At 36.2% G+C, this 17,324-nt stretch overlaps 2 long non-coding RNA genes across 3 annotated transcripts in view; one reads left to right on the top strand and one right to left on the bottom strand.

The window, feature by feature from the left end:
• The window catches only part of LINC02546 (long intergenic non-protein coding RNA 2546), a 36,264-nt gene extending 36,049 nt beyond the window's left edge, over nt 1–215 (bottom strand). Inside the window, exon 1 of the long non-coding RNA NR_149107.1 lies at nt 191–215. This is a non-coding gene — a long non-coding RNA (long intergenic non-protein coding RNA 2546). The remainder of the gene's footprint in view (nt 1–190) is intronic.
• Nucleotides 216–277: 62 nt separating this feature from the next.
• The window catches only part of LINC02755 (long intergenic non-protein coding RNA 2755), a 258,473-nt gene continuing 241,426 nt past the window's right edge, over nt 278–17,324 (top strand). For both annotated transcript variants that reach the window (NR_183754.1, NR_183753.1), the window contains exon 1: nt 278–402. This is a non-coding gene — a long non-coding RNA (long intergenic non-protein coding RNA 2755). The remainder of the gene's footprint in view (nt 403–17,324) is intronic.

Here is a 17,324-nt window from a genome sequence, read left to right as displayed (position 1 = left end):
TCCAAGTTATCCTCATTTCAACATCACTCTCATTATCACTGGTGTTCTTGAGTACGAGGAAAAGTCGTAAAGTTACAGACAGTGCTTGGAATAGTTCAAAACTGACATTGTGTCTTATTTATTATGCTTTTCTATAGGGTATTTCACCAACTATCATGTCTGCCATTCTAGATTTTGTTAATTTACTTGCTTTTGCTGTACTAAATTGGGAAAAGGATTACTTTGCAGACATTTTGATGTTGAAAAGCAGAGTAGCTTTAAAAATATCCCATCCCCCACACCAATATGTTAACGGTGTCTTCAACTGCCATCCTTGATTTTGGCCATCTTGACAGTAATTAGCAGAATTCAAGGGTATCTTGAATTTTCCCTCTAAGTTTGATTTTCTTGTGGTTTTATTAAGTAAGTATATCATGCCACTACTATCTTCTAAGGTTGACTTTGTTACAGCTTTAACAGACTTTGTGCAAAATACATCCATATGTAGAGGTGAAAGGTGTTTGTTTTAATTAGACATGCCCATGACATCAAAATTTATTATTCAAAAACTAGCCCATAATATCTTTAAGATCCCCTGTTTTAATTGTATTAATGACATACAAATTGGGAAAATGTGATATAATGGAAAAGCCATAAGTTTTATAAACTGAAAGTCATGAGTTCCCATCCAACCTTCTTAAGTTAATGGCTTTGTGTTCTTAAAGAAGTCATGGAAGCTTTCTGGATCTTAATTTCATCATGTATAAAATGGAGATGATAATATGTATCTTATAGTTAAAATTTCACCTAAAATTTCACTTCCTGATTCTACCACCTTAGTGAGATTCTTGGATATTTTTGTCTGTAGAACATAGCTGTTTTGTTTCCACCCTATACTCTGTTTGGTAACAGATTCTGTACACCTTGACCACAATTGGGCATAAGTTCAAAAATAAACAATCAGATTGGTTGGAGCACAGTGATTGGGGCACAGTCATGTGATGGTAGGATCCCCAAATAGATCCACAATGTCTTGTTTGTGAGAGTCTGAGGTTACACTCTGTGTACCCTGTCATCTAAGTGACCTAAAGTTTTAATATTATCAAAGTCCCTTAATAAAACAGTTTAGCTTAAGTTTAATCAGAAATGATTTCTGTGTTTTACACTCAGAAACTGTCATTTGCCATATGTCTCCATAGTGCCCTTTGCTCTTATCTTTATAAAATGGATCATACTTGTAATTAATGTTCAACATTTGTTTCCTTCATCAGACAGTACATTCTATAAAAACAAGGAATATTGTCTACCTTGTTCCTGTTTCCCAGTGCTTATTTAGCACAGAGTCTAACATCTAGAAATAGTTAATAAGTAGGTAGATGAAAGGTTTATATCAAGTAGCTCTCACAGTGCTTAATAAATATGAGTTCCTCTCCTAGCACCTTCCCCCTTTACTTTTTTTCTAACACCAGGAACAAATCTCTTTTTATTTGTATAAACTTAAGGGGTACAAGTGCAGTTTCATTCCATGGCTATATTGGATAGTGATGACATCTGGGCTTTTACTGTTAACTATCACTGGAATAACGTTCATTGTATCCATTAACTTACTTCTTACCTCTCACCCTCCTCCCACTCTCCCATCTTTCCAAATCTTTAATGTTCACTTTTTCCACTCTCTACGTCTATGTGTAGACATGTTTTAGCTTCCACTTATAAGTGAGAACACGCTATGTTTGACTTTCTGTGTTGTTTCACTTAAGACAGTGGCCTCCAGTTCCATCCATGTAGATGCAAAAGACATGATTTTATTTTATTTTTTTGTCTGAACAGTATTCCATTATATAAATGTACCTCGTGAAAATACAAATACTTTAATACCCCTGTGTCCTTGCCCTTCAAATTATATACACATATCCTTCCCCCATCCACCACCCCAATCATTGATTCCAGAGGGCACTTCCACTAAAGTTTCTCTTGCGATGAAGACATTCAGAATACGCTTTGAGTCAAAGCAAGGTTGGTGTCTGTCTTGAAAGAGTATGACAGAATGCCCACCCCATTTACTGTGCAGATATTTTTAAAGAACTGAGGTGGTTTCTGCTGAAGCCTTGCTCTCTGCTGCATCTTTCCTGTGGCCATTGCTATGCCAGCGTGAGAAGGCTGGCCCAAATTATACTGCCAAGGAGGTCTTGTAAGAAAGTGAATATAATGGTCCCACAAAGGGGTTGAACCTCTGACCCTGTTCTTATTAGCAAGCTCTACCCAGCAGAACTAACTCTAAAGTGCTTGCTGAATTTTTCTGAGATAACTCTTGATGTTTTATTTTTAAAGTCATGTGGCTGACCCAATAAAGAAGCTAGCTAGTTAACTTAAAAATGTCTTTATGCCATTTTTAGAATACATGGGGCAAAAGGACTGTTGCATTGGTCAGTATTTGTAAAGAACATTTGGTTTGTAAGAAAATGAATGCATTGCTATTCCAAGGGACATACAAGACAACTCCACGTTTCTCCATTTTTGATCCTGGGAGGTGGCTTTACAGGATAGTTATTGGACTGTAGAATCCACCTTCTAGTTAAGTATGTAATCAAAATTAAAAAGATGGCTATACAAATACACAGAGATTTTAGGGATATCCACACAGAAGAAGCTAGCTATTTTAAGAAAAAGATATTTTTAATTATGTACCTATTATATGCCAGGCACTCGGCTACACATATTTATTTACAGTATTTTTGTTTTTCCATTATACATGTTATTTTCCTCATTTTATAACATGAGTAACTGAGGCTTAGAGAGGTTTAAATAATGTATTCAAGGTCACCTTGAAGTCTGAAAATTGGTTACCTACTCCTATCTTATGAATTTTTACCATCCATTCAACAGTACTGGCCTTTCTCTCTATTAACCTGTTAACCTTTGTATTTATGAGTAATTGTGGCATTTGAAGTCATTGAGCTTCTCCTTTGAAATTAATCTTATCAGTTATGAATACACAATATATTTGCCTTTCACATTAACAAGTTCTGAAAATATCGGTAATATTTATTAATATTTAATCAAAATGTCATTTAATTTATTTCGTCTTCCTTCCAGTGTGACAGATGATGATGATGATGATGATAATGATGATGATGATAATGATGATTCCAGGGCACCACCTTTCTTCAGTAGGTCTGGATATTTTGCTTCGGTGGTCCTGGGTGATGTAGATGAATTTGCATTTTTAACAAGACTTCTGCTCAACCCCTGTTCTAGCCCTGCCAAGATTATGAAGCAGGAAATACCAGAATACAGAGAAGCACTATGCTGAGGGAAGAGGGGCTAGGCTGTTTCTCTCAGTGCATTTAATTGTAAAGTTGGAGTTAAGGAGCATTGATATTTTGGAAACACAAGGAGTTTGTTTAAATTCTAATTCTCTCTTGTTTTAGCTGCATAAACTTGGGCAACTTCATTTCTCACAGTGTCAATTTCCTCATCTGTAAAATGGGCCTTCTAAGGTTGTTGTGAGGTTAAAAATAAGATACTATGCCTGGCACGTGGCAAATATTCAATAAAATTTAAAAAAATTATTACAAAAATTGTGCTTCATACATGAGACAGCATAATTTCATAGTAGATTCAGACAGAAAACAGAATGAAATTTAGAACAATTTTGGGAAAATACATGCATATACTATTCTTGGAAATAAGAATTTTATTTCATTCTAACAAATATTTTTTAAGTGTTTGTTTTTCTGTTTTGTTCTAAGCACTGTGCTAGGCACACAGATATTTTGTGAACATACCTAAACCTTGAGGCTGATATGCAGGTAGGCAAAATGCTTCACTTGTTTCTTTTATTGCAGACACAATATTGGGCTGAGAAAATCATGACTCTGATCTAATATAGACAAATTTAGGGTGTTCTAAGTTTCCAAGACTTTAAAATATGAGTAGATGATTAAATGAGAAGATCTCTTATTTTCTCCAAGCGGAAAAATAAGATAGCCCATGTTGGTTTGCCCAAATTTGAAATTTTAGGAAAGTACAGAACTTTGCCCTAACATTTTTTCTCTTCATTGCCCTTGCATGACTTCAACTCTTTGATTTAAATCAAGTCAATTTATTTTGTGAGGATTTTAATAACATATTAATTATGATCAGATTGGCATCTAATGACTAGCTCCCTGAGACTGACAGACATTGGACTATTTATATATAATCTCTGCCCTTTCAGTTTGACCTACTTTGACAGTTCAATTAAACCAATTGACTTTTAAATTTTGTTTATGAAATGGCTAGGTAACACTGAATTTGTGGGGTACTTAGCATTTGTATAACACACCATTTAATATGTTGCCTTAGTGTTATTTCTGGAGTCTAGGAAAATACTACTCTCTGATAGGAAAATCACAGTTGAGTTGCAAGTGGAGAAACTAAGTGTATTAGTACATGTGTGCATGTTTGTTTGGAATATGTGTCTGTAATGCACACACATCATTTACTCACAAAATATGGAAGAGTCCTTTCTGTATGTAAATTGATTGTCTGTAGTTTTCAATTTCATCTCACTTGAATTGGTTTATGTGCTTGTTTAAGTATGTTTTCATCTAATGTTCATTCGTTTGTTCAACAATCATTAATTGAGCACTTACTGTGCATCAGCTGCTATAAGAGACTTTGTAACTCTCTATGTACAAGTCCCAGGCCTTGTAATGATAGTGAGGTAGGCTGGAGAAGTACAATTTCTGTGTCCCCTCCTTACTTATAAGCCCCCAGTGAGATGCAGTATATGACACAGGATACGAGCTGTCTCTTGCTAAAGCCAAATTTTCTAGGTTTGTATCCTAGCTTTGCTACTTATCAGCTGTCACTAGGCAAAGTGGTTAACTTCTGCTTCATAACTTAATTCTCTTCATTGTTCTGTGGTTCATGTGCACTAGCAAATACACAAAGTTTAGAAGGGCTCATGAGGAGCTCAGTGCATGTCATCCATTACTGTTACTAGTATTGCTGTCACTGTAAACTAGATATTCAAGAGATGGGATTTTGATATTATTACTTCCAAGACCAAAGATACAGCCAGATCCTGCCTTCCATTTACGTTGTCTCCCTGTGGAATTCTGGGTTGAGAGAAATATACACACAGAACAAAGGAAGAGTGAATAATATTGAGGAAGTGCTCAATAATGTCCAAAGTAGGGCACTGTGGTGAAAATTGGGTTGTTAAATGAAGTTTAGGTATTTACTCACCTTTTCATCTCTGAGAATAGGAAAAAGAAAGAAATATAAAGATTGTAGGGGGACATATTCTTAAGTCTGTGGTGAGAAAAACTGAAAGAGAAAGATGCTGGTTGCGCTAGGTATAGTTACTAAAATAATGGTAATCAGAGTGGCGGGCTTAATAAAAAATGCTGCCTAGTTAAAAAAAATGGCTCAATATGAGATGTCAACCAACAATTTAGCAACTTATTTCTATCTGCATAACTGTTACAAAAAGACAGGCAGAAGTATAAATGTGGGGGAAAGATACAGAAATATTCCTTACCTGGGCTATGTTCAGGACTTCATGTCAAATCACGTCCAGATGTTATAGTCTAAGAATTTGAAGTCTAGCATGGACAATAAAACAAACCACATAGTTCACTATTGAAAACATGAGTAAGACATTTTTCCATAAGAAAAAATCAAACAAAATCATGTAGGTGTTCTGAGCAGAGTTTCAGCATAGGCAATCTAGACTTCATGGAAGTGGTGACATTTAATGAAAGTGAAGGTTTACTAAGCACTTACTTTGTATAAGCATTGTGCTGCATGTTACATACACATTATCCCATTTTATTCCCAAAACTGCCCTATAAGGAAAAACTATTTTCTCCATTTTACAAATGACACAAGAAGGCTTACAGATAATAAGTTATTTCTAAGGTCTATATGTAGTAACTGCCTGAATCTTGTTCAAAACCAGGTGGTCCGGCCACCATGTATGAGTGCCTAACCTCTATTCTACTGTCTTTTCCCACTTTTCCCTGCTGCTTCCTGCCAGAACGAGGAAAGTTCCTGTCAAAGGAATAAGTGAATGTGTTAATAGACAGTAGATATTAAAATTTGTTTTATAGACTTCCATTAACGAACACTTTGAACAAGGCCTAGGGGCTGTTGATGGAGACTTTAAGAGTTACTTACAAGGCATGATCACTTCCACTAAATGCTTATCCTTCACGGGAGGACAAGACAATGAATAAATAATGCTAGATGAATAGTGCAAAGGGTAAGTAGTGAACATTTAATCAATGCTTTTTTATTAAGCACCTACCAGGTGCTAAGTTAATGGAATTGTAAAGCCTGACTCTAAAGTATTTTTACAATTCATTAAGCAAGATAATAAATGTATATAAACAACTATAACAGAGGGCAGGATGTGGAAAGCCCTAGCAAAGAGGATTAGGAAAAATGGGGCTAGGGATGATATAAGAATTAGAAAAGTAGGAATGTTATCCACTATGCCTGGAGCACCTAGTATGTGCTAGCACTCTACTTGAGAGTTCACATTTTTTTTTTTTACCCTACTCAATTGTATCACAACGTAATTAGAGCATAGATATTTACTCTAATTGTATGCATCAGGAAACTAGAGTACATACAGGTTAAGTGTTTTAGGTAAAAGCTAAAAAACAGAGAGTAAGCAGCACAGCTCTCCAACTGGCAAGCCTCTTTTCTTTTAAAGCATTTCGTAACATTTGATGAGATGAGGAAGAGACACAAATATAGAGCAGTTTGGTAGCAAACTCCAAGATAGTCCCCAGATATTTTCATCTCCCAGTATTCACACTTTGTGTAGGTTTCTCTCACAGAGGTTGTGGTTAGCTCTGTGTGACCCATAGCATATGGCAGAAGTGACACTGTGACTTCTGGGACTCATAAGAGATTATAAGAAGCTTTGTAGTTTTTGGTATGATTTCTTACAAAACTTTCTCTGGGTACCCTTGGCTCCCAAATTAAGAATGTGATTACTTTGAGGCCACTACTCTGGAGACACTAGATGGAGAAGCCACATGAAGAGATCATGACACTACATAAAGAGAGAGATGCTCAGCAAGCGGCCAGCTACTCCCACCGTCAGAAAACCTAATCATTAGAGTTGATGCCCCAGACATTGTGGAGCAGACAAAAGTCCACCTCCATGAGACCCACCCACACTGAAAATTCTGGAGCAAAATAAGTGATGGTTGTTTATTAAGCCACTAAGATTTTGGAATAATTTGCTATACAACTGTAGATAATTAGAACAGAGACTAGGTGCATATTAGTTATCTATTGCTATATAACAAATGACCCCAAAATCAGTAACTTAAAACTACATCATTTTGTTACCTCGGTTTCTGTGTGTTTAGAATCTGGTCATGGCTTATCTGGGGCTTCTACTTCAAGGTCTCTCATTAGGCTGCATCAAGGTGTTGGCTAGGATAATAGTCGTCTCAAGGGTCAACTGGGAAGAATCTCCTTTTTAGCTTACTTAAATGGTTGTTGGCAAAATTCACCTTCTTAAAGAGTGTTGAATTAAGGAGTTAACTTCTCACTTGTTGTTGGCTAGTGGACTCCTTCCACTCCTGCCCCACCTGCCTTTCCATATAACATTCAAGTCAGAACAAGCAAGCAAGAAAGCAAGCAAGTGAGAGTGACAACAAGATAGAAAAATTACCAGTAATACAGAAGTCAAAATGTTTTGGAACCTAATCAAGGAAATGACATTCCATTGCATTTTCTGCATTTTATTAATTAGAAGAATGTCACAAGATGTAGTTTTCACTCAAGAGGAGGGGATTACACAAAGACTGGAATACCAAGAGGCAGGGGTCACTGAGGACTATCTTACTTCAGGCTGCTATAACAGAATATCATAGACTGGATGGATGGCTTACAAAGAAACAGATATTTATTTCTCACAGTTCTAGAGGCTGGAAGTCAGACATCAGGGTGCTGGCATGATCATGTCCTGGTAAGGGCCTTCTTTCGGGTTGCAGACAGCTGTTTTCTCATTGTATCCTCACATGGTAGAAAGCTGAGAGAGAAAGCAGGCTTTCTTATGTCTTTTTATAGAGCCATTAGTTCCATGAATAAGGGTTCAGTTCTTATGACCTAATTACCTCCCAATTGCCTCACTTTCTAATACCATCATATTAGAGGTTAAAATTTCAACATATAAATTGGAGGGAGCATGAATATTCAGTGTATAGCAAGGACCATTTTAGAAATATTAAAATATTTTTTAAGAAAGAGAATTAACTCTAGGTTTCACTCAGGATTCTAAAATGTAGCGATGTATAACATAGGAAGGATAATTATTTTAGTCTCTCTGACTCTTTGCTTATTCATCTTTAAGTGTTGAGAATAGTTCTTAATTAACAAAATTATGAATATTAAATGACAAAATCTAATTGCAAATATCTATAAGCACATCTGGAATATATGGGGATCTGATTTTGAGACTATGTTAAAAAGTTTAGTTAAAGAGAAAATCATAATTCTGGTAGAAATTTTTAAAGTATAAATAAGACATTAAAATCCATGCATTTCTCATCTATCTGTGAGCACGGAAAAATACCATCTCTATTCAGAGACAAGAAAGAAGTAAGTTCTAGTTTTTCAGTTTTCAAAAGTCTTCCCCTTCCATTGCCTCCATGTGTGTCTTGTAGAAAGTAACTTATTTAAAGGATGCTGTCTTCATTTCTTGGTCTCTGAATTTAACATTTGGCAAGGTGGTAATAATGCCTCAGAAGAATATTGAGCCAATACAGAAGAGAATGAAGCAAAATCAAATATTGGTTTTTCTAATATTTGAACAACCAGTGGTCTGTGGCATAAACACCAGAGTCTACAGATAAGATATTTTGCTTTGTTTAATTCTAGAGTGAGCCAGAAACAAAACCAAGAGTACAGGACCCCATCCTCACATGTTGCCCTCCTGGCTCAAGTGCACAATGGAAATATACATAAGGGACTTTTATAGGATCTAGTATTGATTTTTGGTGAAACAGGAAAGCAGGCATAGGCTGCAAAAGAGGCCAGTTAAGCAGATAACAGGCATTTGAGTGTCAACTATGGGTTGGACATTCAGGATACAAAGGTGTTGGATGAGAAAGTAAAACAATAAATCATCAACAACAATATAAGCTGTAACAGAAAGTGGACAGGTTATAGTAGAGAAAGAGTCTGAATGAAGTGATGTGAACACATACATGGAAAAGAGTTCATTCTACTTGAGAAAATGAAGAAAACTACCAGAAGACCCAAAATACAAACAAAAAGAAATACTGTATTCATGGAAGCTCTCATATTAATAATGCTAACAATTCATATTCACCTATTCATTCTATAAATTGAATATAGTATCAATACAAATTTCATCCATTGTTTTCTTACTGGATAAATTTTATATGAAAAAATTAATATACAAGAGATTATTTGATTCATGGGGAAGTTTATTACTACTAGATGTTAAAATGCTATAAAGCTAAAATAATTAAAACAGTATAGTGTTGTCATGTGTATAGACCAAGCAGTAAAATACCACATACATTTAAGAAACATAATCAACTATACATGAGATTTTAAGTATAAGGTAAATATGACATTTCATATTGGTGAGGAACTGATAGATTATTCAATAAATGTTGTTGGAATATGTAGGCACCTGGAAAAGAATGAAGTTTAATCCATAGTTCACATCTAAGTGACTCCAGACTTAAACATGAAATATAAACACTAAAAAGATTGGTCAACTTTTAAAATATTTTCCATAGTATAACACGATGTCCAGAGGTGAAGAAAAGTAAGAAAAAACATAGATAAATTCCACTAAAAAGTTTTCTGAAATTTATATTGGAAAAACACAATAAATCCATAAGACAGTCTCAGAACTCTGGGGAGCATTTGCTAATCATATCACAGACAATGGTTCTAAACCCTGTAAGAAATAAGCCAAGAGTTCAGGAAGCAAATAAGCAAAAGATATGAACCAACAGTTCACAGTAGAGGAAATATGACTCTTGCTTAAACACACAAAATCTTTTCAACCTCACACTTCATAAAAGGAATGTAAACTAAAATGGCACAGAGTTTTCATAGTTACCTCTCAGATTGGCAGAGGTCAAAAAGCTTGATTGTATACTGTGGATTGCCACACTGTAGGGAAACAGGCCTTCTCATAATTCACTAAGGGAAGTGTAATTTGGTACAACCTGTATACAGAAAAATAATGGCAATCTATACAAGCCCTTTTCAAATTTACTAAAGGGAAAGCCTTCAAAAAATTCAGTAGAATCTGTGGAGATTCTGGGTGCACTTCATTCATGGCTTCAATTTACTTTTGTTGGAATTTTAAAAGAATCAAATAGTTTCAGAAATGGTACGGATGGCACTGGTTCTTTCACGCATGAATTCACTTTGTAATAACCTCATCCTCTCCCAAAGCACCTTGTTCTGTGCATTTTAACTATTAAAATTCTCTTGCTCAAATTGAGGCCAACACTCCCAGCCTTCATTCTGCACTCTGAAATTGCTGTAGATTTCAAATTCTACCAATTCACATTAATAATATAATGCTAGAAAAGAGATTATCAGTCATCTATGATTTAATAAACAGCTTTTTTTTTCAGTCTTCACTTCAGACAAACATGTCTAATGTGGCTTTTTCTTGTGGGAAAGTGGGTCTAATCAAAGTTCCCATCAGTCTTGATTAAGGAGAGATCATTATTCCATCTCCCCTGTGTTGCTAGTGAGTGCACAGAGCTTACTTCTGTTTCAAGGCTTCTTCATACAAAGCACATGAAGAAACCTCTAAGAAATGGGAGGCTCAGTTTCACCTGAGGCTGGATAAGGGATTTGCCCAGGGCAGTGCTTTAAATCAGAGTTTTTGCAATTTAGCAAGATGTAGCTATGATGCTACCCTGGGAAGAAGCACATAATGAGCAAGTAGAAGTACCTCCTTTATGGCTACAGTTATCCTGGTGTCTTTGATGATGAGAACAAAGAGATGCAAATGAAAACTAGGGACAACCATCTGTCTATAAATGTTTCTGGCATCTGGGATCTTTTTCCTCAGTGTTAGTATCAAAGTGATAGGTTGAGCAAGAGCCACACAACCAGTTGTCCCTCAGGTGTGCCTGTTCATCTGCTGAAGTAACCAGCCAGACATGCTTCAGAGAAAAATGGAAAACATAGAAAATTGATTTTACTGGACTCCTATGGAGGTGGGGCATGAGGGTATATGATCATATGCAGAAGACTGGCAATTTATTTTCCCCACATGACACAACTGAAAAACTGAAAATGCTGACTGATAAAAACATAGATAAGGAAGATCTATTAGCAAGCCATGATGTCTTCCTAAACACATTTCTATTATTAAGGTCAATTGTTGAAGTAGGTCCTCATCATTAAATAACTGCCCAGTCTGGCTATAAAAATGTCACAGGTAGTGTTGAAATAAGACAGTGTGCTCTTAATGTTTCCTTCTTGGAACCTTGGAATTTAAGTCTCAATCATGAATGATCTGTTCTTAGCAAGATGGTATTTATTGTCAAAGAAAAATTACATAGGACAGGATTAAACAGGAAAGGAAAACTTTATTCATGGCTATTGCAATATGGATATTCAATTCAACTACCCTCAAACAAAAAGTAGCAGAAGTTTGAGGACTAAGTGAGCTAGTGAAAAGTGCTGAAGGATGTTAGGGGGAGGCTGGTCAATGTGATGAGGCCATCTGTTTCTTTTGTTTTGTTTTTTTTTTCTTCAAACTTTTATTTTAGATACAGGGAATACATGTGCAAGTTGGTTATATGAGTACATTGCATGATGCTGAAGTTTGGCATATGAATAATCTTGTCAACTGGAGAGGCAGCATACTACCCAATAGGTAGTTTTTCATCCCATCCTCCCCTTCCCCCTTCTAGTAGTCTGCAGTGTCTTTTCTTTCCATGTTTATGTCCATGGGTGCTCAATGTTTAGCTCCCTCTTACAAATGAGAGCATGAAGTATTTGGTTTTCGGTTCTTGTATCCACAACTGTGTCCATATTGTGACAAGGGATAGAATTTTGTCCTTCATATGGCTGCATTGTACTCCATGATGGATATGTACCACATCTTCTTTAGCCAATCTACCAGTGATGAGCACCTAGGTTGATTCCATATCTTTGCTATTATGAATAGCATGGTGATGAACGTACAAGTACATGTGTCTTTTTGGTAGAATGACTTAGTCTCCTTTGGGTATATATACAAAGTAATGGGATTTCTGGGTCAAATGGTAGCTTTAAATTATTTGTGAAATCTCCAAACTGCTTTCCACAGTGGTTGAACTAATTTACATTCCCACCAACAGTGTAAAAAGATTCCCTTTCCTCCGCAGCCTCTCTAGCATCTTTTATTTTTATTTTTTATTTTCTAATAATTGCTATTCCATCTGGTGTGAAATGGCATCTCATTGTGGTTTTGATGTCCATTTCTCTGATGATTAGTAATGATGAGCATTTTGTCATATGTTTGTTGGCAACTGGTATGACTTTTTTTGAGAAATGTCTATTCATGTCCTTTGCCTATTTTTTTTAACTTTTAAGTTCAGTACCTGTGCAGGTTTGTTACATAGGTAAACTTGTGTCATGGGGGTTTGTTGTACAGATTATTTCATCACCCAGGTATTGAGCCTAGTACCCATTTGTTATTTTATCTGATACTCTCCCTCCTCCCAGCCTCCACCCTCCAAAAGGCCCCAGTGTGTGTTATTTTCCTCTATATGTCCATATGTTCTCATCATTTAGCTCCCACTTATAAGTGAGAACATGTGGTATTTGGTTTTCTGTTCTTGTATTATTTTGCTAAGCATAATAGCCTTCAGCTCCATCCATGTTCCTGCAAAGGACATAACCTTGTTCTTTTTTATGGCTGCATACTATTCCATGGTGTATATGTACCACATTTTCTTTATCCAGTCTACCATTGATGGGCATTTAGGTTGATTCCATGTCTTTGCTATGGTGAATAGTGCTGCAATGAACATATGCATGCATTCGTCTTTATAATAGCATGATTTATATTCCTTTAGGTGTATACCCAGCAATGGTATAGCTGGGTTGAATGGTATTTCTGCTTCTAGATCTTTAAGGAATTGCCACACTGTCTTCCACAACGGTTGAACTAATTTATGCTACCACCAACAGTGTTTAGGCATTCCGTTTTCTCCACAACCTCACCAGCACCTGCTATTTTTTGACCCTTTAATGATAGCCATTCTGACTGGTATGAAATGGTGTCTCATTGTAGTTTTGATTTGCATTTCTCTAATGATCAGTGATGTTAAGCTGTTTTTTCATATCATTGTTGGCCGCATGTATGACTTCTTTTGAAAAGTGTCTGTTCATGTCCTTTCCCCACTTTTTAATAAGGTTATCTTTTTTCTTGTAAATTTGTTTAAGTTCCTAATAGCTGCTGAAGAGTGGACTTTTGTCAGATGCATGGTTTGCAGAAATTTTCTCCCATCCTGTAGACTGTTTGTTTCCTCTGTTGATAGTTTCTTGTGCTGTGCAGAAGCTGTTTAGTTTAATTAGATCTCATTTGTCATTTTTTGCTTTTGTTGCAATTGCTTTTGGCGTTTTCATCATTAAATCTTTGCCTGTGCCTATGTCCTGAATGATATTACCTGGGTTGTCTTTCAAGATTTTTAGAGTTTTAGGTTTACCAAGAAAAGTTAAAAAAATAGATAGTATAATATATTCATGTTTCTTATAATTATTTCTAGATCAAATTTAGGTTTCATCACTTCAATATTGTAAAACTAATACACTGATTTTTTTCACTTTTTGTATGGTTTTGTTTTTACATTTAGATTTCTGATCAATTTGCATTTACCCAGCATATGGTACAATGTGTGTGGTATAAAATTCAAATGTATCTTTTTTTCTCAAATGACTATCTCTTTGTTCTAATACAATTTCTTAAAATGTTCTCTTTCCTCATCCTTAATTTGAGATTATATTCTTTATAATATTAAATTACCACATGTACTTTGGCCTGTTTCCATATTTTCTATTATATTTTCTTGGTCCGTGTTTCTGATAAAGTGACTGATAGACATTTAAGGTATTTGACTGTGTCTGCTGAATAGCTACTTTGCATATAAAATCACAGCAAGGGCAAAAACAGAACCAGTGATAGGAAGGCATTTCCTCATAAGAGGACCTAAAAACCCCGTGTTTCCATAGTTCAATGGCACTGAACTTCTGTTGCAGAGCACGAAAGATCCCTCCACTCTTCTTAAGTTTGAAGTTTCTGGCCGAAGGCTCTAGATGCTGCCTTAGCAAGAGGCTCGATACTAGAATTGATTTGCCATGGAAGTCTAGTCACTTGAAAAAGAGAAATATCATCCTTCATACACAATGCTTAATGGACCAACTAAAGGACATACCTAGAAGTCAAGGTTCTGTGGCTTTTCCCCATACCCTGAAAGAATATTTATAAATTGTTTATTTATTAAAATGGAAAAGATTAATTTACATAAATTAAATAATTGTTATTTATTTGTGCTTATTTATAGAAATGAGACCTCTGTCTGCTACCCAGGCTGGAGTGCAGTAGCACAGTCATAGTTTACTGCAGCCTCGAACTCCTAGGCTCAAGCAATCATCTCACCTCAGCCTTCTTAGCAGCTAGGACTGCAGGCACATATAGGCATGCTGAGATAATTTTATAAGATTTCTGTAGAGATGAGGTCTCACTATCTTGCCCTGGCTGTTTCTGAACTCCTGGCCTCAAGCGATCCTCTTGCCTTAGCCTCCCAAAGTTCTGGCATTATAGGTGTGAGCCACTGTGCCAGCCCTATATTCATTTTTTTGATGCTGATTAATTCTATAATAAATACAAGCAATTCCATATTTTGTTGTGTTATAGTCATACAGAAACCAGTGGAATAAATGGAAAGCAAAAGAGGGCTTCATAGTTTCCAAGAGTCACAGAAATTGGATAAAATCATAGAGAAAATTTGGATCTCTGTTCTGAAAACCTGGGGGAAATGATTTATGTGGGAGAAACTATATCAATTACCAAATTTGAAGGAGCGGGTAAAATAGAGACAAAATAAAAAGATCAGAAGCCATGTGAATGAGAAAATCAAGAAAGTTGACAAGGAATAAGGCAGAAGGCAGGTGAGAGAGCTGGGGTAAAACTTGGTCAAGTGGAACTTCTTTAGTTATTGGGTCAGTTGGAGGGGAAGATGGAGAATTGGAACGGAGACATTCAGCCTTGGGTCTTACACTATTCTCAAGTATTCTTACCATTCTACAGAGCTTCATCATCTACACCCCCAAAGAATAAGAAATATAAAACCATGATAAACTTTGAACAGCTGTAGTCTAGAACTGACTCATACCATTGACCATGATCCATCCTGCATTATCTCATTCTAGAAGATAGTCTATAATAGCAAAGTCACCAAAGGTCATTTTTTTGAATCTCTCTGCTGTCCCATTGAAAAAGTATCTAGCACTTCTTAAGTGTTACCCCGCCAGGCAGGATGCCTGCTGTGGCACTGAGATAAAACCTCTTATCAACCCGGTCTTCTTTGTAGAAGTGGGCCTGGGAATGCTTACAGTGGGCTGCAGTCAGAGCAGTCAGACTCAAAGGAAGCCTAGAAGATGTCAAAGGGCAGGCCAATGTCATGGCACTAAAGTATGATAATGGTCTAACATCTCTCCTGTATGAGGAGAGGAGGATCCAGAGTGACTCAGAAGAGATAAGCTTAGGCCTGAAAAGAGGAGATTACCTTTGGGTTCTATCAGAAGCATGATTGTCAAGGGTCAGTGGAATGAGAGAGGAAGTGGAGCCAGCAGAAATCAAAGCAGTTGTGGAGATAAGCTGGTGGTTTTTTTCTATACTATATTGGAGTGTCTTTCTATGCTGTGCTGGGGAGCAAGAAGGACAAAGACGTTGGCATGGATGAATGAGAGATGCAATTTAATTGTAGGTACGACACACACTGATCAAGAAAAACAGACCCCAGGACTAGCGCCAGGGTAGAATTTGTAAGCTCAAATGTGTTTGGTTGATGGATTGTGGGGACATGCAGTGGGTCTCAGGGAAGGAGTAGTGGGAATAGGAGGACCCTTGAAGTGCTCCGGGTAGTGAGTAGCTCTTTACCAATTGTGTAGCAGTATTTCAGTATTTATTTAGTTACTGGTACAGCTCTATTAATACATAAGGAAGAATATTGATATACATGTTATGTTGTGCTGACATGCTGTATTTATGAGTAAAAAGTACTGCAGAGGGGCTTGAGTATTATTATATCCTTGTGTCTCAAAAGATATTGGCTGTAGGTGAAATAGGTAAGCGATTTGATTAAAAATATTCCAGATCAAAGTTGTATTTTATTCTCCAACAGCAGAAGCTTACAGTCCCAAAATGTATAAGGTACTAGGTAGAATTGACAGAAAAGAAGTTCTAGAAAAAATCTAGATTCATAGGTCAAGTTTGCGCAACACTTCATTTCTCAATAGCACTTGGAAACTCAAATCAACCACCATGATGTCTTAGAGTTATCAATCACAAAAAGCATATGAGTATTCATATTCCACCCTTTACTATATTGTAATAGCAAATATTTATGTTAAACTGCTTATGTGCCCACATTTTATCTGCTTTGATCCTCTTTAAACTATTGTGAACTGTTATTAAAATAAGAAAATAAGGGAGGTAACATTTATTTAAAACATTATTACTGTGGTGGGCAGTGTTCTAGGTGTGTTATATTCTCTGATTTTTATCATTGCAAGAACACACTAAGGTAGACATTTTACAGATGAGGATATCCAAGGAGTTGAGGCTTCTCTGTAAATAAGTGTCAAAACCAGGTTTTATAATTTGCTTGTCTGATTCTCTTTCTCTTACGTTCCACCAAAACCTAGAATATTTAGGGGTTTTAGTGGCCCATGAAACCTAGCTAGTTAAAGTGAACTCGACCTAGAATGTCTCTACTTCTTCACAATGTGCAGTAGTCGCTGAAAAGTGGAAACTTTTAGAAACTTCTCTATCTTTGGGGAAACTTGTTGGTATTTTGGGTTTATTTATTGTAAATTGTAAATATTCATTTATCATTCCCAATAGCAACACTTAATAGATCATCTCTTTGCCTATAAACTGAGAAGGAACATGCTTATAGTCGTAAAGAATGAACTTGCACAGGCTGCCTATAAATCCTTGACTGATATGAATCCTTATGACTTGAGTGAACATGAAGAACCACAGGGAGAAATACTTCCATTGGAAGAGACACTGAGAATCTAACCAAAGTAACAACATTGATGAGTGTACT

This window comes from Homo sapiens, chromosome 11 (genome assembly GCF_000001405.40).
Source record: "Homo sapiens chromosome 11, GRCh38.p14 Primary Assembly".
NCBI lineage: Eukaryota > Metazoa > Chordata > Mammalia > Primates > Hominidae > Homo > Homo sapiens.
The sequence above is the reverse complement of the archived record's forward strand: the minus strand, read 5'-3'. Positions and strand labels throughout refer to the sequence as shown.